The sequence below is a fragment of the Homo sapiens genome, chromosome 15 (assembly GCF_000001405.40).
Source record: "Homo sapiens chromosome 15, GRCh38.p14 Primary Assembly".
Taxonomy (NCBI): Eukaryota; Metazoa; Chordata; class Mammalia; order Primates; family Hominidae; genus Homo; species Homo sapiens.
Genome location: NC_000015.10, coordinates 29,715,170 through 29,740,994, shown reverse-complemented (window position 1 = coordinate 29,740,994; position 25,825 = coordinate 29,715,170). Strand labels below are relative to the sequence as shown.

The window sequence follows — 25,825 nt, the reverse complement described above, 5'->3', positions numbered from 1 at the left end:
AATCTCAGCACTAGTGGCATTTTGGGCCAGGTAAGCATTTGTTGTGAGGGGCTGTCCTGTGCATTGTGGCATGTTTAGCAGCAATCCTGGCCACTAGATGCCAGTAGCAGTCCCCTAGTTGTGACAATTAGAATTATCTCTAGACATTGCCAGATGTTTCCTTGGGGGCAAAATCATGGTTGAGATTGGTTGAGAACCTGTTCTAGGGTAGTTAGCAACCCAAAAGTAAGTTTTTACTATCTTAACACCTTTCATTACTTTACATTATATACTTGGTAGAATTGAGATGTAAATTTGTAAACAAATTTCAAACCATCATGATTATCAAATTAGTTTTTTGTTTGTTTGGTTAGTTTTTTTTTTTAAACAGGGTCTTGCTCTGTCGCCCAGGCTGGAGTGCCGTGGTGCAATCTCGGCTAACTGCAACCTCTGCCTCTTGGGCTCAAACAATCCTCCCACCTCAGCCTCCTGAGTAGCTGGGATGAAAGGACACACACCACCACACCTAGCTAATTTTTGTATTTTTAGTAGAGACGGGGTTTTGTTTCGCCGCATTGCCCAGGCTGGTCTAAAAGTCCTGGGCTCAAGCAGTCCACCAACCTCAGCCTCCCAAAGTGCTAGGATTACAGATGTGAGCCACTGTACCCAGCCCAAATTAGTTTTTTATTGGCACTGGTAAAGGGGACATGATGTGAATAATTGAAAATTGACAGAATTCCGGGCCGGGCGCAGTGGCTTATGCCTGTAAACCTAGCACTTTGGGAGGCCGAGGCGGGCGAATCACGAGGTCAGGAGATCAAGACCATCCTGGCTAACATGGTGAAAACCCATCTCTACTAAAAATACAAAAAATTAGCTGGGCGCCTATAGTCCCAGCTACTCGGGAGGTTGAGGCAGGAGAATGGCGTGAACCCAGGAGGCGGAGCTTGCAGTGAGCCGAGGTCACACCACTGCACTCTAGCCTGGGTGACAGAGCGAGACTCCGTCTCAAAAAAAAAAAGAAAATTGGCAGATTTCCTCAAGTGGGTTAGATTTAGACCCAGCTAGGTAGATAGAAGTAGTTCCTGAAAGAGATGGGGTTTTTACAAGTTTAAAACTGTACAATTTTAATATTAGGTAATTGATAATTCAACCTTTTATAAATTGTGCAGGCATAGATAGTCCCCTTCTTTTCCTTTCTTGGGAATTGCTTGAAAACTTGTGTAAGTGTTTGAGGTTTAGGAAACTGTAATGATAAGATTCCAGAGACTGGCCGGGCGCAGTGGCTCATGCCTGTAATCCCAGCACTTTGGGAGTCCGAGGTGGGCAGATCACCAGGTCAGGAGATTGAGACCATCCTGGCTGAACACGGCGAAACCCCGTCTCTACTAAAAATACAAAAAAATTAGCCGGGCGTGGTGGCGGGCGCCTGTAGTCCCAGCTACTCGGGAGGCTGAGGCAGGAGAATGGCATGAACCCAGGAGGTGGAGCTTGCAGTGAGCCGAGATCGCGCCACTGCACTCCAGCCTGGGTGACAGAGCAAAACTCCATCTCAAAAAAGAAAAAAGAAAAATTCCAGAGACCTCCTTCCCTGGGAGAACAAATACCAAGGAAGATTTGAGGACGTGGACAGGATTAGTAGCTGTGCCAGGAAAGGTTTGGTTTTTCATTTAAAGCCAATGAATGGATTTGATGCAGAAGTTAGTGAGTCTGTTTTGCTACTGCAAGTAGTTAATATAATGCAGGCAGGACAAAGTATAAAATGTCAGTCATCTAAGGCACATGACACTGTTGGTGAGATATGGCCTAAAGCTGTCTTCTAACAGTGGTTTTCAGAAGCCATGTTTTACTAAAGGGTGGATACTGTGCTCAGTTGTTTTTGCTTTTTGAAGCACATTAGATGGGTCAGGGTTAGAAGAGGATTTCCAAAGTCCTATCTTTTGTTTTTGTTTTTGTTTTGCTTTGTTTTAAAGAGACAGGGCCTCACTCTGTCACCCAGGCTAGAGTATAATGGTGTGATCATTGCTCACCATAACCTCAAACTCCTAGGCTCGAGGAATCCTCCCACCTCAGCCTTCGGAGTAGCTAGGACTATAGGCAACGAGCCACGAAACCCAGCTAATTTTTTTTTTTTTTTTTTTTTTTTTTTTAGTAGTGACAGGGTCTTGCTGTGTTGATCAGGGCTGGGAACAAACTCCTAGGCTCAAGCAGTCCTCCTGCCTCAGTCTCCCAAAGTGCTGGCATTATAGGCTTGAGCTGCCACACCCAACTGAGACCTGGAGTCTTAAGGACTTTGAGGAAATATTTAAAGAGGTTTCAGTACAATGGGTTTAGGAGAGGAATCTATGAGAATGCTTTTGACCTGGCTAGGATACCACTACAACCAAGGGGCTTGGACCATTTGTAGTAAAGCTGGTAAATAGTTTCATGGAGGGATCAAGGATGCCACCAGCCAGTGAGAGACCTCATCTGATTTCTCAGGCTCTTACTTTTATGACTAGCTGATGTTAGTTCCAGGTCAGGTAACCCAATCAGAAATGAATAAATAGTAAGTTCTGAAAGTTAAGGCGATCTCTTTAGTTGGCTTAAAGAGACTAGAAATCTCTCCTTCCTCAACACATTTCATTCATTTATTTGACTTTTTGTTGTTGTTGTTGTTATTGTTATCTATTAGTTTCTAATAATTTGGTTAGTATTACATAATAAAGAGTATAGGGATTTTTTTCTACACTTCTTGTCAGAATAGGTAAAATAGTGTATTTTCTTGCTAGGAATGTGAGAGTACTTATGAATCCCTAGAAGGGAAATATAGTGGGTAATTTTTAATTACAGTCTGTTTCTATCCAGTCAGTTCTTAGAAGGCATCCTTTAGTATTTGTTTTAAGGAATGTCACAAGGTTTCAACACTACACTGATGCTAGAGGTGGGTGTGTATGCATTATTTTTTTTTTCCATTCAGAGAACTAGAAAGGGACAGAATGGATATGGGGCTAATGTAGAAAGGCTGAATGACTATATGATTTGTATTGTAAAACTCAGAGGGGCAGCAGAGTAAGTGAACTACTCTGTGAACTACTGAAAGACTCCACCAACTGCAAAGTTTTTTTAAAAATCACTCTCTGTTACATGTAGAAATCACAATGCTTGGAGCCTTATTTTGAGTCCATCGTGTTAGGAAAATTAGCCAATTTATACTTCAATTTCTACCTTTATTTTAAAAAATTTGACTTTTCAGTTATTAATAGAAATGATGTGTGAATTGGGGTGGAAAAAATGGAAGATGTTTTTAGCCATTTGGAATGTACCATAACTCTTTGAGAGTTGAGAAAACATTGTTTTACAAAGTAATTTTATAAATTAGTTATGTAAAATAGTACTTGCATATTAAATTTGAATATTCCAAAACTGTTAATCAGAAAATAGTGTTATTAAGTCTGATTTGAATTCTAACACTAAATTTTATTTAGTAAAATAGTGGTATGAGAGAAGTTTTAGAAATGATGGTTCTTTATTTAATTCTGAATATAGTTTTCACTGTAGTGATTGCTATAACGTTTTAAGCTCTTCTTAACTGTTTCAAATGAAATATCTGTTTTAACAGGCCCAGCATGAAATTGGTAAAATTCAGAAAAGGAGATAGTGTGGGTTTGCGGCTGGCTGGTGGAAATGATGTTGGAATATTTGTAGCTGGCGTTCTAGAAGATAGCCCTGCAGCCAAGGAAGGCTTAGAGGAAGGTGATCAAATTCTCAGGGTATGTCAGTATTGCAACTTATGTGGGTTAAAAAGTATTTGGATCACCAGAAAAAGGTATCAAACAACAAGCTTACTATTGTAATTAGATTGTAATCTGTAAGCAGTCTCCATTGAGCCAGTTAAACTTTGAAAGTCAAAATCCATCAGGTCTACCTTATGCTGGACTTCTCACTTCCCATTCTTGTATCTTGCTCTTGTTTACTGCTATATTTTGTGTTAGTAAAGAATGTAACATTTCATTTCTACCACTCGTGTTCATGGAAATAAAAGAAAATAAGTCTTATATCCCGATGATAATATCTACCAGGTAGTCTTTGGAAGTTCAACTAAACATTCAGACTGGCAGGACTCTGCCATGGGCCACAACTTGGCAGCAAGCAACATCAAGTGTTCCTCTCCCATATGAGTCATCTTGAAGCAATCCACACAACCTCTGGGACCTTTTTAACCCCAGATAATGGCTCAGACACAGGGAGATGGAATTCACATCAAAGGCAAATGTGTAAGCTGCCTGGCTTTGAAACTTCATACTCCACAAGAGACAGGATTAGTTACACAAATCAGGAAAGCCCAGGTTAGATGCAGAGTATCAGTAGAGTCTATAGAGTCCTCCCTTCCTTCCCCATAAACGGTTTCACCTAGTGACATAGTACCATCTTAATCTGTCTCCTGTTTCTTTTTAAAATATCCAAACCTCCATTTGATTTGCTAGATTAAACTATGTCCCATTTTAATCAGAAGGTATCTGTCCATTGTGAGCTCCTACATTTATTCTGCTTCTCTACCACAAAGTCTTTGCCGTGGCCTCTCTATTCTGGTCTCTTTCTGTACTCAGCCTGCCTCTTGCCAGTGTCCTGGATTCAGCCTCCTGTCTGCTCCAGAATCTTGTAGCTTTGTTCACTTTCTTGTCTTTCTCTCTCCACTGGTTCTTCATCTATCTTCCACTGTCTTATTTGTCCTTTTTTGCTGTTTAACTTGTTGAAGGATGTGGTTGAGGCCCTTGCCTGTTTTCTTTTCAATCATTGTGGTCATACAGTTTTGCAGCCTGGCTTCCACCTTCACCACACTGAAGCTCAGTTTTCAATAAGCCATTGCTGAGTTAATGTCATCCTCAAGCCTCATTTTCCTTTATTTTTTAGCAGCGTTTTGACTGTCTTAATCTTTTTTGAAGTACTTTTTTCCTTAGATTCCATAATACTGCCATTCTGGTACATTTTTTTATTCTTTTCCTGCCTCTTTACTGATACTTTTAAAACTTGGAGAATGTTGGTAACTCTCTGCTTCTCTTGCTACACTGCCTCTTTCTTGGGTTTGGTTGCTCAAGTGAGCAGCTCGTAATCAAAGTCTTTTCACTTAGCAATTTCCTGAGCTCTGTCATTTTCTCATTGAATCCTCCTCCTTTTCCCTTCAAACTTAGCATGTCAAAAAGTCAAGGCATCATGGTGACTTCAGACCTATTTCCATCTGATCTGATATGGTCATTCTTTCTGATGATGTTTACATTGTTGTCAATCAAGTTAGGTCAAAAACATTTAAATACAACATGTATAATAACGTTCACTATACCAAGGAAAGTAAAGAGACCTATTTTCTTACCCATCTCTTAACCCTGTTTTGAAGTAATCAGGGCATACATTTTTTTAAACGTTTCTTTCTTTTTTTTTTTTTTTTTTCCTTGAGACAGCGCCTCACTGTCACCCAGGCTGGAATGCAGTGGTGTGATCACGGCTCACTGCAGCCTTAAACACCTAGGCTCAAACATTCTTCCCCTCAGCCTCCTGAGTAGCTGGGACCACAGGCATTAGCCACCACACGTGGCAAATTTTTGTATTTTTTGTAGAGGCAGGGTTTCACCACGTGGCCCAGACTGGTCTCAAATTCCTGGGTTCAAGCAGTCCACCTACTTTGGCCTCCCAGAGTGCTGGGATTACAGACATGAGTCACTGCGCCTGGCTAAAAAATGTTTCTTAATAGTTCACTTTTGTTTTGTATCATAAAAGTAAGTGGTGCGTGTCAGGTTTTTTTGTTTCTAGGGTTTTTTTTTTTCTTTTTTAATCTGGAAAATTTCCAAAAGGTGGAAAGAAGAAAACCTGCCTGTAATCCTGCACACAGTCACTGGTGACATTTTAATAAGTTCATTTTGGCATTTAGAAGCTTCTAATAGAAGTAAATATTAACTTGGCAAACACTGAGCCTGCATTACACAGATGCTCTTACAGGGTTGCTACAGTGCAGATTGTCTTTTTAGTCCCATTTTCTTTTGATTTTTTTTCTCAGCAACTTGTAAAAAGTTACCTTTTTTCATCTAAACTGGTTAAATTTTACACAGATCTTTAATGTCAGGACACACTGAATACTATTTAAATAAATTTATACCTTTAACTCACTTTATTTGTTTCTGTTTTTTTAAAATTAGAGTGTATTCTTTTCTCCAAAGTAAAATAAAGTTTTTGGTCTTAAAAGATGTGATATTTTCGGCCGGGTGTGGTGACTCATGCCTGTAGTCCCAGCACTTTAGGAGACCAAAGCGGGCGGATCACCTGAGGTCAGGAGTTTGAGACCAACCTGCCCAACATGGTGAAACCCCATCTCTACTAAAAATATAAAAAAATTAGCTGGGTGTGGTGGTGGGCACCTGCAATCCCAGCTACTCGGGAGGCTGAGGCAGGAGAATCACTTGAACCTGGGAGGTGGAGGTTGCAGTGAGCTGAGATCGTGCCATTGCACTCCAGCCTGGGCGACAGAGCGAGACTCTGTCTCAAAAAAAAAAAAAGATGTGATATTTTCAAATTAGGTAGACTGAGAGTATCTGTGTCCTGCGTATGTTATTTTCATATTCTTAAACAGCCAAGAATGATTTATGAAATCTTATTTATTAGGTAAACAACGTAGATTTTACAAATATCATAAGAGAAGAAGCCGTCCTTTTCCTGCTTGACCTCCCTAAAGGAGAAGAAGTGACCATATTGGCTCAGAAGAAGAAGGATGGTGAGATGCTGTCAGAAAATGGAGGAGATAAACCTGTAGAGTTTGAGGACTTACAAAGGGATTTATTCCATTTTTAAAAAATAAGTCACTCATAGTTGAGTGATGAATGAATTTGTTAATCTCAAAGAAAGTTATGTAATTCTAAGTCATTTAGGAGCACAGAATTTCAGATGATTCTCATTAGCAGAGCATGCTAATAGGACTAACCTTTATAGTATTCTAATTTAAATAAAATGCCATCCAACCCTTTACAAGTGATAGAAAGTGTTGATTTATTAGCCATCAGAACCATACAAAAGTATATATGAGCAGCTTTCAGATTTTGTACTGATGTTTCTAAGCAATACACTCAGATGTTTATTAGCATTAATTCAAGAGAAAACTCCATTTTTTCTGTGATACAATTTTCACTTAGAGCCAGGTTTCTCAGCCTTGGCACTGTTGACATTTTGGACCAAATAATGTGGTTTTAGGGGCTGTCCTGTGTATTGTGGATGTTTAGGGGCATTCCTAGCCTCTGCTCACTAGATGAGATGCCACTAGCACACACCCCTTACCCTTTCAGTACACAGATGGGGCAGTCAAAACTGCATATTGGCAAATGTCCAATGTTGGATGGCGAGGGATAAAATTACCTTTATTTGAGAACTGCTGATTTAGATATGGAAATGTCTATAATGTTTGCAGATAAGTTAGATGATATAATAGAAAACAAGCATGTGGCTTTTGACAAGTTACTTGATGTATTTTCTGCATCAGTTTCCTCATCTGCAAAATGGAAGTACTAAGAGTTTCAATTCTTACAGTGATGAATACATGAAATAATACAGTACCTGGCACATAGTAAGAATTTGTTGGATATTATTATTGATATTATCATAGCATCTTTACATAATGTACTGTCTTTCAGATTGTTATCCCACTAAATATTGATAATGTGTTTGTTTTTATTCCTTTTAGTTTATCGTCGCATTGTAGAATCAGATGTAGGAGATTCTTTCTATATTAGAACCCATTTTGAATATGAAAAGGAATCTCCCTATGGACTTAGTTTTAACAAAGGAGAGGTGTTCCGTGTTGTGGATACCTTGTACAATGGAAAACTGGGCTCTTGGCTTGCTATTCGAATTGGTAAAAATCATAAGGAGGTAGAACGAGGCATCATCCCTAATAAGAACAGGTATGAATGCTTGGATACTTCTCATAGAGTGAATCAAGTAAATGATGATAGATCATTTCAATCCCACTGGGAAATTTTGGTAATGTAAAGAATTCTTTTTCATTGTATTCAACGTATCTATAACTGACTTAGGTTTACAAACTCCTCTTTATTATAACCATTAAGATTTAAACTGTATGTGAACTTCCATCCAGTATTGTATATTTCATTTCATTGTGGGTCTTTTTCCATTTTGCATTTTAAATGCCCTTATTTTAATTTTCTCCTTTCTTGTGTAGAGCTGAGCAGCTAGCCAGTGTACAGTATACACTTCCAAAAACAGCAGGCGGAGACCGTGCTGACTTCTGGAGATTCAGAGGTCTTCGCAGCTCCAAGAGAAATCTTCGAAAAAGCAGAGAGGATTTGTCCGCTCAGCCTGTTCAAACAAAGTTTCCAGCTTATGAAAGAGTGGTTCTTCGAGAAGGTAGTTTATTTTCTACAGACTAACCTAATACCCTTTAACGTCAATATGTTTAAGAAAGAAAAGGTATAAAATATGCTGTTTTTCATGTGAATTTCTCTCCAGCTGGATTTCTGAGGCCTGTAACCATTTTTGGACCAATAGCTGATGTTGCCAGAGAAAAGCTGGCAAGAGAAGAACCAGATATTTATCAAATTGCAAGTAAGTAGCCTCAAGGCTAACTTAAATGAGGTTGGGAGTTACACCTCTAAAGTGAGTGAGTTCTGATTCACTCATTCAATAAAAATAAGACTTTTTGTCAGTGAAAAATTAGCAGTTTATCCCATTCTTTTAATTTGGTGAGAAAACCCCAGTGACCATGTCCTTGTTCCACCAATTCTTTTAATGAGAAAAGTCACCGTTTAGGAAACTCTTGGCTTCATATGAAAATTGCATAACATACAATGTCATTGAATCCTCCCAGTCATGCTCTGAGGTAAGGAGTATAATATCCATGTTACAGTTGAGTAGCCTGAGACTTGGATGGTCATTGCGTGGATCCTTTCCAGTTTCTTCAGTCTAAACTTCCTGGTGGCCCTCAGTGAACAAGTGACAAGACTCGGCTTTGACCACAGCCCTTTCTTGCTCCATTCCAGCTCTTTTAGTCATTAAACTGACAAATACACAAATAGTTAAAAAGGGTAATAAAACATTGCTAATATTATCAGCTGTTGTTATTGCAGACATTTATAATAAGATAGTAAGTATAAGTATTGAGGCTGCAGTGCTTTGTATGCCAAATACGTTTTGCTTACAGATCCTTGTTTTATTTACTTTCTTTTTTTTTTTTCCAAGCCAAACTGTATCCAGCTTTATTAAAGATACTTTCCATAAACAATCATGGTATTTCAGGCAGGACATGGGCAGACAATCGTTAACAGTATACAACAACTTTCAAACTCCCTTCTTCAATGGACTACCAAAAATCAGAAAGCCACTATAAAACCCAATGAAGTCTTCATCTGATGCTCTGAACAGGGAAAGTTGAGAGTGAGGGTTGACATTTCACATTTAGCATGTTGTTTAACAACTTTTCACAAGCCAACCCTGACTTTCAGGAAGTGAAACGAAAATGGCAGAATTTATCTGAAGATCCACAATCTAGAAATGGAACCACTGCTCTTTTGACAGGTGCCATCTCAGTGGCATCACTGGAAAGTCCAGATTGCCTGACACACTGGTAACCAATGACTAGGGGTCAGGTCTCAACAGATGTCTGGGCTTAAGGGAGTTAAGTCTATGCTGAAACGTGGAAAGGGAGAAGAGGACATAAAAACAAATTTGTTTTTCCATAGCACAAGGCTTTTGTGCCAAGGTGGCCATGTGTGTCAAAGTCAAGGAATCCCTCCTCCTGGGAGCCAAGAGGAAGTCTCTCAAAACTGGAAGGGAAAGGTGTTTTCTCCACATCAATCCAGTTTTGGAGACATTCTATTAGTGACATATGCCCCTTCCCCCAAAAACAACAATGAAGTGTTCTGTGTGCGAACAACATAGCTTAAAAAAAAAAAAAAAAAAGTAAAACAAAATTCTGCATTTTTATAAAACTTGATAAAAGTATTTCAAACTGTACAGTCACCAGAAATACACAGTTATCAAAAATGCACACACTTCACTTGGCATCTCCAGCACCTTCAGCTTTCTGTGCCTGGTCTGTTTTGGCATCTCCATTTTCTGCAGGGTTATTCCCCTCCTTGCCAGCATCAGCTTTTCCCTTTTTCCCTTTGGGTACCTTCTCTCCCTTCTTTGCAGGGGCCTTTTTAGGCTTGGGCTCTGGCTTTGGAGGAGCAGGTTTAGCAGACAACCTCGCGGATCTTCTCTGTGGTTCGTCCTTCACCTTGGCTTTATCTCCCTTAGCATCCCCTTCAGCCTTTCTCTTGGGCATGGTGGCGGTGGCGACAGGACGTAGGTGCTGGACGTGGGATGCAGCGGCACGCGGGCTTTGGTCGGTCCGGGGGTCGTTCTCGCCTCTTCTTCACACTGCTCCTCTTTTTTTTTTTTCAGAGACAGAGTCTCACTCTTGCCCAGGCAGGAGTGCAGTGGTTAGATCATTGCTCACTGTAGTCCCAAACTCATGGGTTCAAGCAGTCCACACACCTCGGCCTTCCAAGCAGCTAGGACTACAGGCACATGCCAACACGCCTGGCTAGTTTATTATTATTATTATTATTATTATTTTTGTAGAAACAGGGTCTCACTAGGTTGTCCAGGCTGAACCTGAGCTCCTGGGCTCAAGTGATCTCTGGCCTTGGCCTCCCAAAGTGCTGGGATTACAGGTGTGAGCCACTGTACCCAGTTTTGTTTTATTTTTAAACTGTTTTTGTAATTATAAAAGTGCCATTCTGTGTTTGGAAAAGTTGGAAAGTTAATTTTTACACATATCACCACCCTAAATTTTATTCCATTGTATTTTCTTCCACTCTTTTAAGCATATTTTGGCAAAGTTTTATTTATACTGTTTAGAAAAGTTTATATCCAATTTTTCTTTTTCATAGGTAATGGCATATTTTCATTTTATCCTGCAATTTTTGGTTCAGTTAGGCTTTTTTTATATCGTTTGTTTCGAATTTATATTACTATTACAAAAGATACAGAAATCTGTCCATATTTTGTTTGCTTGTTTATGCCCTGCTTTGTTTCCCAAAGGATTTAAATCCTTAAGAATATAGCTGTTCCCATAATTATGATGAAGTTTCTGCTTTCCAGAGAGTTGTGCTGGGGATTTTGTTCCCACTGGCACTATATGACCCTCAGTAACCTTTTTTTTTTTTTTTTGAAACAGAGTCTCGCTCTGTCGCCCAGGCTGGAGTGCAGTGGCACGATCTCAGATCCAGGCTCCAAGTTTCACCTCCTGGGTTCATGCCATTCTCCTGCCTCAGCCTCCCGAGTAGCTGGGACTACAGGCACCCGCCACCACGCCCGGCTAATTTTTTTGTTTTTTTAGTAGAGACGGGGTTTCACCGTGTTAGCCAGGATGGTCTCGATCTCCTGACCTCGTGATCTGCCCACCTCGGCCTCCCAAAGTGCTGGGATTACAGGCGTGAGCCACTGCACCCAGCCGACCCTCAGTAACATCTTTAAACTGCATAGTGTTAATTTAAAGAATCAGAACATCATCTTTTTTTTTTAATATATTGCTTTTCATTTCATTGCCAATGAAGTTGAATAAGGATATTTATTTTCTGAACATCAGAAGATTTGCAGACAAATGATTTGAGTAAAATCTGAGCAAGTTAGAAAATGTTTATTTCTTAGTTTTTTCAGAAGAAGTTTTGTTTTGTTTTGTTTTCTTTTGTTTGAGACAAGGTCTTACTGTGTTGCCCAGGTTGGAGTGCACTGACGCAATCTCAGCTCACTGCAACCTCCGCCTCCTGGGTTCAAGCGATTCTCCTGTCTCAGCCTCCCCTAGTGGCTGGGATTACAGGCACCTGCCACCGCACCTGGCTAAGTTATCTGTAGATGACATTTCACCTGAAGGAAGTTGGTGGTAACCCTTACCCATAACCAAACTTAGGATTTTTAGATATGGGAAAAGCAAGTATGATGACTTACAAAGCTCTGCCTTAAAGGGTAATACATTGGTTTAATCAGGTTTACTCCACAACAGGGAATTCAGGTAGCTTAGTTTTATATCTTCTTTGAGTCTAATGACAGTCTTTTGAGTTGAGGAGTTAGTAGCATTTTTTTTCCAGCCAAAATTCCCAGTTGATCTTTCTTCTTAATTCTCCAGTGTTCACTAGATTTGAAATTCTGCCCTGCTTGCCCATGGTGCTTTGTCTTATGGTAGTCTCATTCTCCAAAATCATTTATCTTGAACCTCAGTGTGACTTGTCTTTCCAGATCTCTGCCTTTGTCTGATCTCTGAAACACCAAAGCTCTTCCTTTCCTTTCAAACTTTCCTTGTGACCAGAGTCACAAACGTTGCTGTGCTCTGAGATGGTTGGTTGGAAACCAGCCCAAGCTGCATTTGGCACAGTATACACCAGTGAAGACAGGTTGCCAGGATGAAGCCATAGGCTGTCTCACAGTTACAGATGAACAGCTTCCTGCCCCCAGGTTCCCCTTCTACTGATGTAACTAAGGTCTCTAACCCAGAACTCCCTAGGCAATCCACTATAGCACCATTACCGATGGTTGATGGACATGCCAAGGTATTGACCTCTTAAGCCAGTAGTGGCTGGTTAGAGCTTGGCAAAGGAGCAGCCCCCTCAGTTTATCTCAGTGTGCCATACAAATAATATTTTCTCTGGATGTTACAGTGTGAAAAAGGGTGGGAAGTAGTGCCCTGTTGAGCCATATTAGAGCCCCAGGCAAAAGAAAAAAATGTGCATTCCTGTATATTTTTTCTTCTTTAATGGCTAAGTTTTTTTCCAGAATATTAAAGTAGTTGAAAAAATAGTGAAAAAAAAAAAGGGAAGTATGCATATTAAAACTCACTTTAAGTACTGCATGCATAAGACAGTTTCCACAAACAAAGTACTATCCAGTCCGGCATATCAGTTGTGGCCAGTAGTTGAGAAACTCCTGTCTAACCAGTGAAAATTTGATGTCTTATTTTTGTCCTGACATAATGAATAGAGAGTGAACCACGAGACGCTGGAACTGACCAACGTAGCTCTGGCATTATTCGCCTGCATACAATAAAGCAAATCATAGATCAAGTAAGTTATTAAAACTTGACCCATTTCATTATGTTATTGTGGTTTTGAGTGGGATGGGATTTGGTTAATTTGAAAGTAGAAGGTAGTTTTTCTGAGACTATTACTGACATACTATAAGAAAATTAAGCCCTTACTGAAAAGCATTATAATGATTACTTTCAAGAGAATAGTTACTGTAGGCATCAGAAGATGATTTTTCATTACCACAAAACAAGTGTATGATTTTTAGATGTAATTAACAGACTGCTTATATATTATATCAGTACAATTCAAGTTGTAGTTTGTTATTTACATTCATAAGGAATGTCAGGAACATTAAATTCTTAAACATTTTTATTCTAACTGTACGTGGATAATACTGTCAGATTGCGGTGTTAGGGCTAAGTCTTAAAAGTGAGCTTCATAGAAAGGTTTTTAGAAATTTGGCTAGAAATGGAATTGAGTTAACTTACAATTAGTTTTTTAATATGTGCTCCTGAGACATTAGAATACAAAGAGATCTGTTACCACTGAAATATAGTACAGACTTTTGACTTTTTCTGAATGTGATGGGGTGTTTTGTTTTGTTTTGGTTTGTATTTGTTTTTGTTTTTGAGGTAGGGTCTTGCTGTGTTGCCCAGGTGGGACTGCAGTGGCGTGATCTCGGCTCACTGTAGCCTCTACCTCTCAGGTTCAAGTGATTCTTGTGCCTCAGCCACCCAAGTAGCTGGGATTACAGGCGTGCACCACCATGCCTGGCTAGTTTTTGTATTTTTAGTAGAGATAGAGTTTCTCCATACTGGCCAGGCTGGTCTGGAACTCCTGGCCTCAAGTGATTCACCCACCTCGACCTCCCAAAGTGCTAGGATTATAGGCGTAGCGTGAGCCACTGCACCCAGCTGAATTTGGTGATTCTTAATTAATGATGTCTTGTGTCTTTGTATATATTTTTCTTTCTGTTTCTAGGACAAACATGCTTTATTAGATGTAACACCAAATGCAGTTGATCGTCTTAACTATGCCCAGTGGTATCCAATTGTTGTATTTCTTAACCCTGATTCTAAGCAAGGAGTAAAAACAATGAGAATGAGGTTATGTCCAGAATCTCGGAAAAGTGCCAGGAAGTTATACGAGCGATCTCATAAACTTCGTAAAAATAATCACCATCTTTTTACAAGTGAGTATGTTAATAAAGGCCTTCTTTCAGCTTACAATGTCTGGGCAACATTAAGTAGGCCAAAATGTTACGGTGTTCAAATACTAAAACTTACATGATACTTTCTTGGAAAGCTTCCTGTTGTGTTAACACCTGCTGTTTGGTTAAAAGAAAATATACAGTAGCAAAATAGAAATTTCAAATGTTTGCATCCTCAGATACCATCTTTCAGTAATGACGATTTAGCTGTAAGCAGGGTTGAATTAATTCTGACTTTTGGCAGTGCTCTAACCATAAAACTACATCGTTAATTTATTTTCAGCTACAATTAACTTAAATTCAATGAATGATGGTTGGTATGGTGCGCTGAAAGAAGCAATTCAACAACAGCAAAACCAGCTGGTATGGGTTTCCGAGGGAAAGGTAAGACATTTCCTATTACTTTTTTGACTTGTTCAGTAAATTATGTAACTAATCAGAGATGCTTTTGAGATACCAGTGCTTTCTAATTAGATCAACATATTGGAGAAATTTGGGGAAAGTTAGCTTTTAGGTTTTTATAATTTGTGTGTAGGGGTTATGAAAGTTGTTTCTGATGGTAAGAGAATTCTTAAATTTTCTCACCTGTTGAATTACCACTGCAGTAGGATTGTCTCCTAAAGAATCTTAAATTATAATGAAGAGCAGGTTGAGTTCTGATGCTGCCCCTGTCTGGCTATGAATGATGACTTTGAGCCTGGCTTCAGTTTCCTCCTCTGAAAATGAGGGGATTTGGATGGCCTAGATGAGCATCTCCCAAAGTGCTGTCCTCAGCATGCTCAATTCAGGACTTGCTCTAAGAGAGAAGGCACTATGAAGGCAAGCAGCGGATGGGAAATAAACCCTAGACCCCTCACGAGTATCCTCGTACCCACTGGCATTTAAAGGCTCTGAGACATCTTAAAAGTTAAAAAGCCGACTTCATGCATTTCCTTGCATTTATTTTTCACTCAACACCTGTTAACATTCTCACAACATACTGGGAGATATTGAACAAAGCAATAGATCCTTCCTGGCTTTGAATTTTGGTTTTCTATACGTCCAAATGGCCAGCTTTAAAATAACTACTTTCTATTGTCAGTCTTTCTGGTTTTATAGCAATCTTTGATGGGAAGGTCTGTTTATTTTGTCTGGAGAGTTAATCATTTCCTCAGAATACACCATTGAGGGAAGCTTTTTTTTTTTAAATGTCTTTTACCTTTTTCAGATCAGTGCAGTAAGTTTTGGTTATTAGGGAAGATTGAGAGTATCTCTGGTTTTTATTTTGTTCTTTGTACTTCCTTGTTGGTTTGGTTTTTGTTGTGTTTTGCCCCCGCATGGTCCCTACCTTCCTCTGCCTGGCTGTGGCTACAGATGCTCTGACAGTGCATGCTGCATGCTTAGGACCCCCCATGTCCTCTACCCAGACATACACAGCCTCTGCAAGGAGAGCTGTTAACACTGAGAGGCAGTGTCTATTGTTCTCACCTATAGTAATGTGTCAGAACTATGGTTTTTCTCATTATGAACCAGTCTGGGGGATGGACCATGCATACGAGAGCCTAAGACCACTCTGAATAACATGTCAGCTGGAACTGGATAGGAAAATGAAGGTGGAAACAAACCACACCACTTTACATGAACACACTATTACTAATTTCTACTTTTGCAGCACTTGAAAGGATTGTAGTCTTCATACTAACCTTCTATAGCAACACAATTCTGTTAACATCCTTTGGCAGGTCCAATGTTAATAGCTTTCACTAGTGAATTCTTAAAATGAAAGTAGTCTATAAATGTTTTCCCAAAATGCACAAAGTATACATTTGTAGTATCTGAGAGGCTTTTTTAAAATCCACAAATCTTAATTTTCTATAAAGTATTTTAGTGATAGTCTTGTGTGCTTTCTTTGCTTGGTTTTAAAATAAAGGTCCAACTTTCTAGCTTTTTATGTGAGGAAAAATAGGTTATTTATTATCAGGCTAGACTGATGCATTTTGTAAGCCAGAAAAGGTTGTTACAACTTACAGCTTATCTTCCTGTCCTCTTCTCTTCAAGTATATTTCATAGAATAGATTCTTAAACTAAAACTACTTCATTTCACATTGACTTTCCTGAACCAACTACTTTGACCTAATTGCTAGAAAGAGTTCCTTTTTACAAGATCTGACACAGTCTTACATATTCCCTGCTAAACCAGGAAAAGTCATCCTGAGGCTTTCTTAACATATTTCCTAGTTCAAAGCAACCCATCGTTCTTGCTTACATCTGCATTTCAAACCAGCTTTAAAAACTTAAGTGGATTGATTAGTTCTAAGTTATTCTTGCCCAGACTTTCAATATTTCCTTGACTGGCTACTGGATTATAGTATTCAGAACCCTGGCAAGTTAAAGATTAGAGTAGATAGCAAGAAGACTTTTCTTCTGCAACAGCTGTTACCGAGTTGAGAAGCCATTGAGACTTGTTCAGAGGGATTGTGCTCTAACAGGATAGATCCCTGGATTCCCACTCTCCCCAGCCCAGCCTGGCAGATGCTCTCTTGAAAACTGGAGCATGGGGAGACCTGACACACCCTAGTCTTTCTTATCAGGAAGGCAGTGCTCAAGGTCAGAGTCTTAACGAGCCAAGCATGGGGACTGCGTGGAAAGCTCCATTCAGGCAACTTGACTCCCAAGACCATGCTTCTGGCACAGCAGACCTGCAGAGCCACACCAAACCTGCTAGTTAATAGCAGTGCATCTTTCTGGAGGACAAGAGTTTCATGTTTGTCCTTCATTCCATACTGAAGTGGAAGAAATACTTTCTGATTCCTGGATTCCAGATCCTTCAGCTCTCATGAGTAACTGAGCACGGTGTCTAGGCAGGGTCTTCAGGGAGTGTTCTTTTTCATCCAGGTACTAGTGTCACGTTAGTGTCCAGTGATAACCTGTTGATTGCAACTCTGTAGCTTCCTTTCCCTCAAATACTTCTCACTTTCTTTCTGATCTACTCAGAAGATAATCAACATAAACTATTAGAAACTGAGTTCTTAATTACTTAACAAAAGAAAAGCATTACTGTATTTCTTCCTCTCCATCTGTTGGATACTGTTTCTATGAAAAATAATAAATAATTTCTTCTTAATGTAGCAACCACCATGTAGGTGATGATTTTCCATTGTGTTTCATAACAGCTTTAAGGGCCAAATGTTTAACAGGTTGTTTTAGTCTGCTCTTGAACTGCTGTAAAGAACTACCTGAGACCGGGTAACTTATAAAGAAAAGAGATTTAATTGGCTCACAGTTCTGTGGGCTGTACAGGCTCCTGCTTCTGGGGAGGCCTCAGGAAACTTAAGACAGTGAAGGGGAAAAAGCATGTCTTACATGGTTGGAGCAGGAGGAAGAGAGAGAAGGGGGGAGTACTACACACTTTTAAACAGACAGAGCTTGGGAGAACTCTTATCACAAAATAGTATTAGGGGGATGGTGCTAAACCATTAGAAACCGCCCTCGTGATCACCTCCTACCAGGCCCCACTCCAACACTGAGGATTATAATTCAACATGAGATGTGGGTGGGGACACAAATCCAAACCATATCATTCTGTTCCTGGTCCCTCCCAAATTTCATGTCCTTCTCACATTGCAAAATATGATGGTGCGTTCCCAACAGTGCCCCAAAGTCTTAACTCATTTCAGCATTAACTCAGAAGTTCAAAGTCTCATCTGAGACAAGGCTAGTCTCTTCTGTCTAGGAGCCTGTAAAATCAAAAACAAGTTAGTTACTTCCAAGATACAAAGGGGACATAAACATTGGGTAAATACTCCCTTTTCAAAATGGAGAAGTCTGCCAAAACAAAGGAGCTCCAATCCCCATGAAATTCCAAAAGTAAGTAGATTAGTCATTAAATCTTAAAGCTCCAAAATAATCTCCGTTGACTCCACTGCTCACACCCAGGCTACAATGATGCAAGGGGTGAGCTACCAAGGCCTTGGACAGCTCTGCCCCTGTAGCCACGCAGGGCACAGCCCCTGCAGCTCCTTTCATGGACTGGCATTGTGTGCCTGTGGCTTTTCCAGGTGCATGGTGCATGCTGTTGGTGGACCTACCTCTCTAAGGTCTGGAGGACAATGGGCCTCTTCTCACAGCTCCACTAGGCAGTGCCCCAGTGGGGACTGTCTGGTGGGGGGCTCCAACCCCACATTTCCCCTCCACACTGCCCTGGAGGTGCTCCATGAGGGCTCCGCTCCTGCAGCAGACTTCTGCCTGGACATCCAGGCATTTCCATACATCCTCTGAAATCTAGGCAGAGGCTCCCAAGCCTCAACTGTCTCCCTCTGTGCACCCGCAGACTTAGCATCATGTGGAAGCTGCCAAGGCTTAGGGCTTGCACCCTCTGAAGCAACAGCCTGAGCTGTAACTTGGCCCATTTTGGCCATGTCTGGAGCTAGAACAGCCATGATGCAGGGCACCATGTCCTGAGGCTGCACAGAGCAGCAGGGCCGGGCCTGGATCACCCACAAAACCATTTTTTCCCTCCTAGGCCTCCAGGCTTGTGATGGGAGGGGCTGCCGCATAGGCCTCCAAAATGCCCTGGAGACATTTTCCCCCATTGTTTTGTCTGTTAATATTCTGTCCCTCGTTACTTAACAAATTTCTGCAGCCAGCTTGAATTCCTCCCCAGAAAATGGGTTTTTATTTTTTACTGCATAGCCAGGCTGCAAATTTTCCAAACTTTTATGCTCTGCTTCACTTTTAAATATAAGTTCCAGTTTCAGATAATCTGTTTGTGCACACATATGAACACATGCTGTTAGAAGCAGCCAGGTCGCATCTTGAATGCTTTGCTATTCAGAAATTTCTTCCACCAGATACCCTAAATCATCTCTCTCAAGTTCAAAGTTCCACAGATCACTAGAGCAGGGGCACAGTGCCACCAGTGTCTTTGCTAAAGCATAGCAAGAATGAATGACCTTTACTCCAGTTCCCAGTAAGTTCTTCATCTCTGTCTGAGACCTCCACAGCCTGGACTTTATTGTCCATATCACTATTAGCATTTTGGTCAAAACCATTCAACAGGTCTCTAGGAAATTCCAAACTTTCCCTCATTTTTCTGTCTTCTCTTGAGCCCTCCAAACTGTTCCAACCTCTGCCCATTACCCAGTTCCAAAGCTGCTTCCACATTTTCAGGTATCTTTTTGGCAATGCCCTACTTCTCTGGTACCAATTTACTGTATTAGTCCATTCTCACACTGTGATAAAGAACCACCTGAGACTGGGTAATTTATAAAGAAAAGGTTTCATTGGCTCACAGTTCTGCAGGCTGTACAGGCTTCTGCTTCTGGGGAGGCCTCAGGCAACTTACAATCGTGGCGGAAGGGGAAGGAAGCATGTCTTATATGGCTGGAGCAGGAGGAAGAGAGTTGGGGAGGTGCTGCACACTTAAAAAAACAGATCTTGGGAGAATTCTATCACAAGACTGTGTGAGGGAGATGGTGCTAAACCATTAGAAACCACCCCCATGATCCAGTCACCTCCCACCAGGCCCCTCCCCCAACACTGGGGATTACAATTCAACATGAGATTTGGGTGGGAACACAAATCCAAACCATATCAGTTGTTTCCTAAACATAAATATATTAGCTCTTATTCAACTTTTGAACTGTTGGGTTTATTTCATAGGTATTCTTCCATGTGCTATTCTGTCAGTGTGTCCTTGTTTCTGTGAGCTTAGTTTGGTAACATTCTCCCTCTTCCCCTTGCTTAAAAGGGCTGAAGAGCTAGTGAGTAGGTTTTATAAATCTGAGCAGTGTCAGAGTTTCTTCGTTGTCTTCCAGGGCTGGGCCCTGGAGTCTAACTTTGTCCTGGCTTACCGGCCACTGTTTCCTTCATCCATGCCCTTCAGATCTCAAGGGGTGCTCCATGTGTCTGCGTGTGTGCTTGTACAATCTTCTTGACTTTTCCTTACCAGAAGTTTCAAGAAGTAGATGTGACTTCTCCAGAGAAAGATATCCTTTTCAATCTGCCTTGTACGATAAAGGCCATCTCTTAAAGAACTACTGAATAAAATTTGTAATTTACTTTTATTTGACCCAGGCGGATGGTGCTACAAGTGATGACCTTGATTTGCATGATGATCGTCTGTCCTACCTGTCAGCTCCAGGTAGTGAATACTCAATGTATAGCACGGACAGTAGACACACTTCTGACTATGAAGACACAGACACAGAAGGCGGGGCCTACACTGATCAAGAACTAGATGAAACTCTTAATGATGAGGTTGGGACTCCACCGGAGTCTGCCATTACACGGTCCTCTGAGCCTGTAAGAGAGGACTCCTCTGGAATGCATCATGAAAACCAAACATATCCTCCTTACTCACCACAAGCGCAGCCACAACCAATTCATAGAATAGACTCCCCTGGATTTAAGCCAGCCTCTCAACAGGTAAGCAGCAAGCATTCAACGTTTTGTAGATAGAGGTGCATTATTAAATTTTAGAATGTGGTGATTGAGTTAAAAATATATATGTTGTCCTTTCTCCAGATTAAGAATTAATCTTCAATTTCAATTTGAGAGTACCAAGGGCTTAATTCTAAATTTTGTGTGTTTGTCTTAACACAGCAATGTACTGGATTTTTTTTTTTTCCCAAAAAGTTTAGGACATGAGGTCATAATTTTGTTATTCAGCACACTTAAAATGTATGTCTACCAATCACTATAAATTGAAGTGGAAAGTTAGCAGTAAACAGAAACACTATATTTAAAATATTTTAAACACTTCACAGAAAGCAGAAGCTTCATCTCCAGTCCCTTACCTTTCGCCTGAAACAAACCCAGCATCATCAACCTCTGCTGTTAATCATAATGTAAATTTAACTAATGTCAGACTGGAGGAGCCCACCCCAGCTCCTTCCACCTCTTACTCACCACAAGCTGATTCTTTAAGAACACCAAGTACTGAGGCAGCTCACATAATGCTAAGAGATCAAGAACCATCATTGTCGTCGCATGTAGATCCAACAAAGGTACCTGTGCTGCGGTGTTGCACTAATTTGTTGCTGTCCATCAATCTGGCACATGATCATTTTTGCTTTGCCCTTTAAGTGTTCCTTTTGCTTTTTTACTGCAGGCTTATACACTGTAATGCTTTCAAATCAATACAAATCATTTCAGTTTCGTAGTTTGCATGGCTTCCATTGGTATACTGATTATTTGAAAACAGGCCTTTTAATTGAGATTTGTGCTTATTATTTTTATTTTTGGCTTTCAGTATCTTCCAGAATTCCTTAATATGTAATCGAAACCCATCATAAACATATTTATGTTAATACAAATTATGATGCCCATAAATCTTCTTTAGGATTTTTCAGTGTCAAAATGAAGTGTAATCAATAGTGCATTAATTTTCTACTAAATTTAATATTTATCTTTAACTCACTGTTTATTTAGTACATGCTGAAACATAAAAGCCCCTACCTGCATTATAAATTTTGAGCTTTCACTTAAACCAGCTTTTTCCACTAATCTTGTCTATCCTGATAATAAATGGTAAAACATACCATTTTCACATATTAAATCGTAGTTTAATATTTAATCACAGTCTAATAAAATAGACTAGAATTAGAAACAAGACTTTGTCCTTAAATGTGAATTTTTTATACAGGTGTATAGAAAGGATCCATATCCCGAGGAAATGATGAGGCAGAACCATGTTTTGAAACAGCCAGCCGTTAGTCACCCAGGGCACAGGCCAGACAAAGAGCCTAATCTGACCTATGAACCCCAACTCCCATACGTAGAGAAACAAGCCAGCAGAGACCTCGAGCAGCCCACATACAGATACGAGTCCTCAAGCTATACGGACCAGTTTTCTCGAAACTATGAACATCGTCTGCGATACGAAGATCGCGTCCCCATGTATGAAGAACAGTGGTCATATTATGATGACAAACAGCCCTACCCATCTCGGCCACCTTTTGATAATCAGCACTCTCAAGACCTTGACTCCAGACAGCATCCCGAAGAGTCCTCAGAACGAGGGTACTTTCCACGTTTTGAAGAGCCAGCCCCTCTGTCTTACGACAGCAGACCACGTTACGAACAGGCACCTAGAGCATCCGCCCTGCGGCACGAAGAGCAGCCAGCTCCTGGGTATGACACACATGGTAGACTCAGACCGGAAGCCCAGCCCCACCCTTCAGCAGGGCCCAAGCCTGCAGAGTCCAAGCAGTATTTTGAGCAATATTCACGCAGTTACGAGCAAGTACCACCCCAAGGATTTACCTCTAGAGCAGGTCATTTTGAGCCTCTCCATGGTGCTGCAGCTGTCCCTCCGCTGATACCTTCATCTCAGCATAAGCCAGAAGCTCTGCCTTCAAACACCAAACCACTGCCTCCACCCCCAACTCAAACCGAAGAAGAGGAAGATCCAGCAATGAAGCCACAGTCTGTACTCACCAGAGTTAAGATGTTTGAAAACAAAAGATCTGCATCCTTAGAGACCAAGAAGGATGTAAATGACACTGGCAGTTTTAAGGTAAATATGTCTTTAGTGCCTTGGATGCATGGGCACACCGTTTAAAAGGCTTCTTGGCTCTCCCCTCCGCCATTACATGATATCTATTCTGTTAATTATCTGTTCCTTAGGCATATTTGTCTTTTTTTTTTTTTTTTTTTTAAACAGCCTCCAGAAGTAGCATCTAAACCTTCAGGTGCTCCCATCATTGGTCCCAAACCCACTTCTCAGAATCAATTCAGTGAACATGACAAAACTCTGTACAGGTGAGTACACTTTGTGCTCTTTGTGGCATAGAACTGACCAGGAATTTAACCCTCTTAGTCAATAAGAAAACCTTTTACTGTGTTAGTAGAGGAGAGGTGTGAATAGGAGGAGTTTGTCCTTAAATAAAAACTATCAGCTCTCCTAAACAGTGATTCTAGGGGGAAAAAAAGTAGAACTTTATTTCTGACAAATCTGACAAATCTTTATACCTTTAGCAGACTTTCGGAAAGATATTCTCCAAGCAGATGATTAAATAAACATTTTTAAGCTCTGACATTTGTATTATGTTTTTTAGTTTTAAAAGTGCTTTTCGACATGTGAACTCTTAGTTTCCAGTGGTGAGGAAACAGACTCAGATTGGTTAAGATAACTAAATCATTTAGTGAGCATGCATAAGGTGCTTGCCCTTGTGCTAAGCACATCAGCATAATGAGGTGACACTGTTGTTGTTCTGCATTGTAGAGAGAGACACTGAGGCTGAGAGGGGCAAGTAGCTTACAAGACTTAGAGCTGGAAGAGAAACCTGGCCTGCTGCTCCTCAGCCTGAGCTTTTTCCCATGGCCTCATTGCACTGCCAATAAGTGACAGATTAGATTTGAATACAGCTCTTCTGATTTTGTTTTTTGACTGAATATATGTTTGCACTTAGGATAAAGAAGAGAACTGTCTAATATGAATTTACTTAATGACTTGCTTTCTTCCTCATCTGCTTTGTATGCCTTCTAGAACTTTAGACCATATAGAGTTATTTGTTCATATGAGAATCATTGAGATCCTGGACTGAGTTCTTAAAAATCCCTTTGAAAGTTCTTAAAGTCTATCATTTACTGTTCTTGACCTTGGTATATGTACTTCTCAAGATGTTCACTGTCTCGGTTACATTGCCCTTTGTCTTTCTGATTAACTACTTCTAACCTGCTGTTCCCTAATCATGTAATCGTTTAGCTTATTATATTGTGTTAAAGGACTCATGAGCCAGAAGGGGGCTGCCTTTTGAGTATACTCTGTGAGGACATGGGATTTGAAATATCCATTTTAACTGTTGGGACTGCTCAGATCCTCAGTAATCACAGCAGTTAGTAATTATTGACCTTTTAGTCAAGATAAGACTTACATATTCTACTTCCTTCATAACATTAATATTTAAAAAGGTGTTCCGTTTGTCATTCATTATCTGTTAGGATCCCAGAACCTCAAAAACCTCAACTGAAGCCACCTGAAGATATTGTTCGGTCCAATCATTATGACCCTGAAGAAGATGAAGAATATTATCGAAAACAGCTGTCATACTTTGACCGAAGAAGTTTTGAGAATAAGCCTCCTGCACACATTGCCGCCAGCCATCTCTCCGAGCCTGCAAAGCCAGCGCATTCTCAGAATCAATCAAATTTTTCTAGTTATTCTTCAAAGTAAGCTATTTCACCTGGCTTTTAAAAATAGGATGCAGCATATTAATCCCGTGCAGTTCAATATATTTTGAAGAAAAATAATTTAAGTGTAATATATGATTTCTGTAGGCTCTAGTGGTTCAGCATTGTACATACTTTTTAGTTCTGGGATGTGTGTTTTGTTTTTAAAGTCTGCTATTAGATGTACATAGTTTTTGCATTCACAAAGATGCTAACATCACAGGGTTTTGACGGAAGACAGTGTCAACCACAAGGACCCTCATCGATAGGTAATCATCAGTCTTCACTTCTGTACACACACCTAATGATGTCATGCTGGTTCTTTTTCTTTTCTGTTTTTATTTTTTAAATATAAATACAGATGTGAGGAGGATCCTGTTTGAGGGAAATACTGAAGAGGTTTTTTGTTTTTTGTTTTTGTAAGATTTCTGATCCAGTTTTACAGGTGAGGGAAAATGACAGGGCAGAGCTGGGACTGAACCCCAAGTTTCTTGACTCCCAGTCATCTTTTCCCTGTGCTTGCTGCTCCCCTCCGTTTACTCATCCCTGGGTTTCGTGTTGGTTTGTTCTCCTTTCTTGTGCCTGCGTGGGTTTGTGTCTCCTACTGGTTCTGTGTCTCTGGTTGAACCCTGACTGATAAGAGAATTTGGTACTGATAGTTGTGTCTAAGCCCACACGGGCACACAGGTAGATTCATACCTCAATAGAACAAAACCCACAAGAACAAAAACAGATGTGGATTTGTCAAAAGAAATTCATTTACACAGTTACAGGGGCTGGCTAAGCAAGTCCTATTTCAGAGGGCAGTTGGTCAGGAAGGGAAGATTTTGAGCTACTGGGGAGTGTGAGATCAGGGAAGGCCTAAATTCTCATTCAGAGGGCTCTGCTGATTAGGCCAGGCCCTCCCAAGACCATCTCCCCTCAACTGACTTGGGGACATTACACCTGAAAAATCCCTTCATGGCAGTACCTAGCCAGATTGACATATTAGAATTCATCACACATAGTATTGTGTCTATATTAAAAGCACCTAGATTTTTCCTTACTTAGTTGCGTGGGCTTGGGATTATCTTGGGAAATGACCTATTTGTCATTTACTATTGAGTGTAAATTGTTTTAGAACATACTTTAAAACCACTAACATTAAAACCTAATTTTAATTACCACTGCTTTTTTCTAAGACATCCTTTGTAGTGAAGACTTTTTTCACTGTCCTATATTTAAGGCTTTATGTTTACAGAAGAAAGCAGTTTATGAGAATCCAAATGCAAACTGAGAGTGCTGCAGTGGGGGTTGTATTAAATGCAAAACGTGTCTTGTACTAGTGTTGTGAACCACCCCTTAGCACAACACTAGAAAGGGGTTGTGGCATCTAGATGGTGTCTGGACTGAAGTGAGCTAGCACAATATAAACCCACACAGGTGCACAGCTGGGTTCATA

At 40.3% G+C, this 25,825-nt stretch overlaps 1 protein-coding gene and 1 pseudogene across 30 annotated transcripts in view, besides 1 other annotated feature; one reads left to right on the top strand and one right to left on the bottom strand.

Annotated features, from left to right (window-relative positions):
• Positions 1-25,825, top strand: part of TJP1 (tight junction protein 1) — a 269,683-nt gene that overhangs the window by 228,055 nt on the left and 15,803 nt on the right. For 16 of the 30 annotated variants that reach the window (NM_001355012.2, XM_011521972.3, NM_001301025.3 and 13 more), the window contains 13 exons: positions 3,581-3,731; positions 6,613-6,721; positions 7,682-7,901; positions 8,180-8,364; positions 8,467-8,562; positions 12,976-13,058; positions 14,004-14,214; positions 14,516-14,616; positions 20,287-20,637; positions 20,979-21,218; positions 21,857-22,729; positions 22,877-22,974; positions 24,157-24,384. In NM_001355012.2, coding sequence (NP_001341941.1) covers positions 3,581-3,731; positions 6,613-6,721; positions 7,682-7,901; positions 8,180-8,364; positions 8,467-8,562; positions 12,976-13,058; positions 14,004-14,214; positions 14,516-14,616; positions 20,287-20,637; positions 20,979-21,218; positions 21,857-22,729; positions 22,877-22,974; positions 24,157-24,384 — 2,946 coding nt within the window. The remainder of the gene's footprint in view (positions 1-3,580; positions 3,732-6,612; positions 6,722-7,681; positions 7,902-8,179; positions 8,365-8,466; positions 8,563-12,975; positions 13,059-14,003; positions 14,215-14,515; positions 14,617-20,286; positions 20,638-20,978; positions 21,219-21,856; positions 22,730-22,876; positions 22,975-24,156; positions 24,385-25,825) is intronic. The other 14 variants (XM_005254620.4, XM_047432984.1, XM_005254619.4 and 11 more) reach the window with 1 other exon arrangement.
• HMGN2P5 (high mobility group nucleosomal binding domain 2 pseudogene 5) lies at positions 9,189-10,383 on the bottom strand (annotated as a pseudogene).
• Positions 21,827-23,026: an enhancer, noted in NCBI's record as "P300/CBP strongly-dependent group 1 enhancer chr15:30010173-30011372 (GRCh37/hg19 assembly coordinates)". NCBI's record gives its function as "activates an origin of replication core promoter dependent on BRD2, BRD4, P300/CBP, MED14 and CDK7 cofactors, with strong dependence on P300/CBP, by STARR-seq in HCT116 cells {active_cell/tissue: HCT116}" and the evidence as "EXISTENCE:reporter gene assay evidence [ECO:0000049][PMID:35650434]".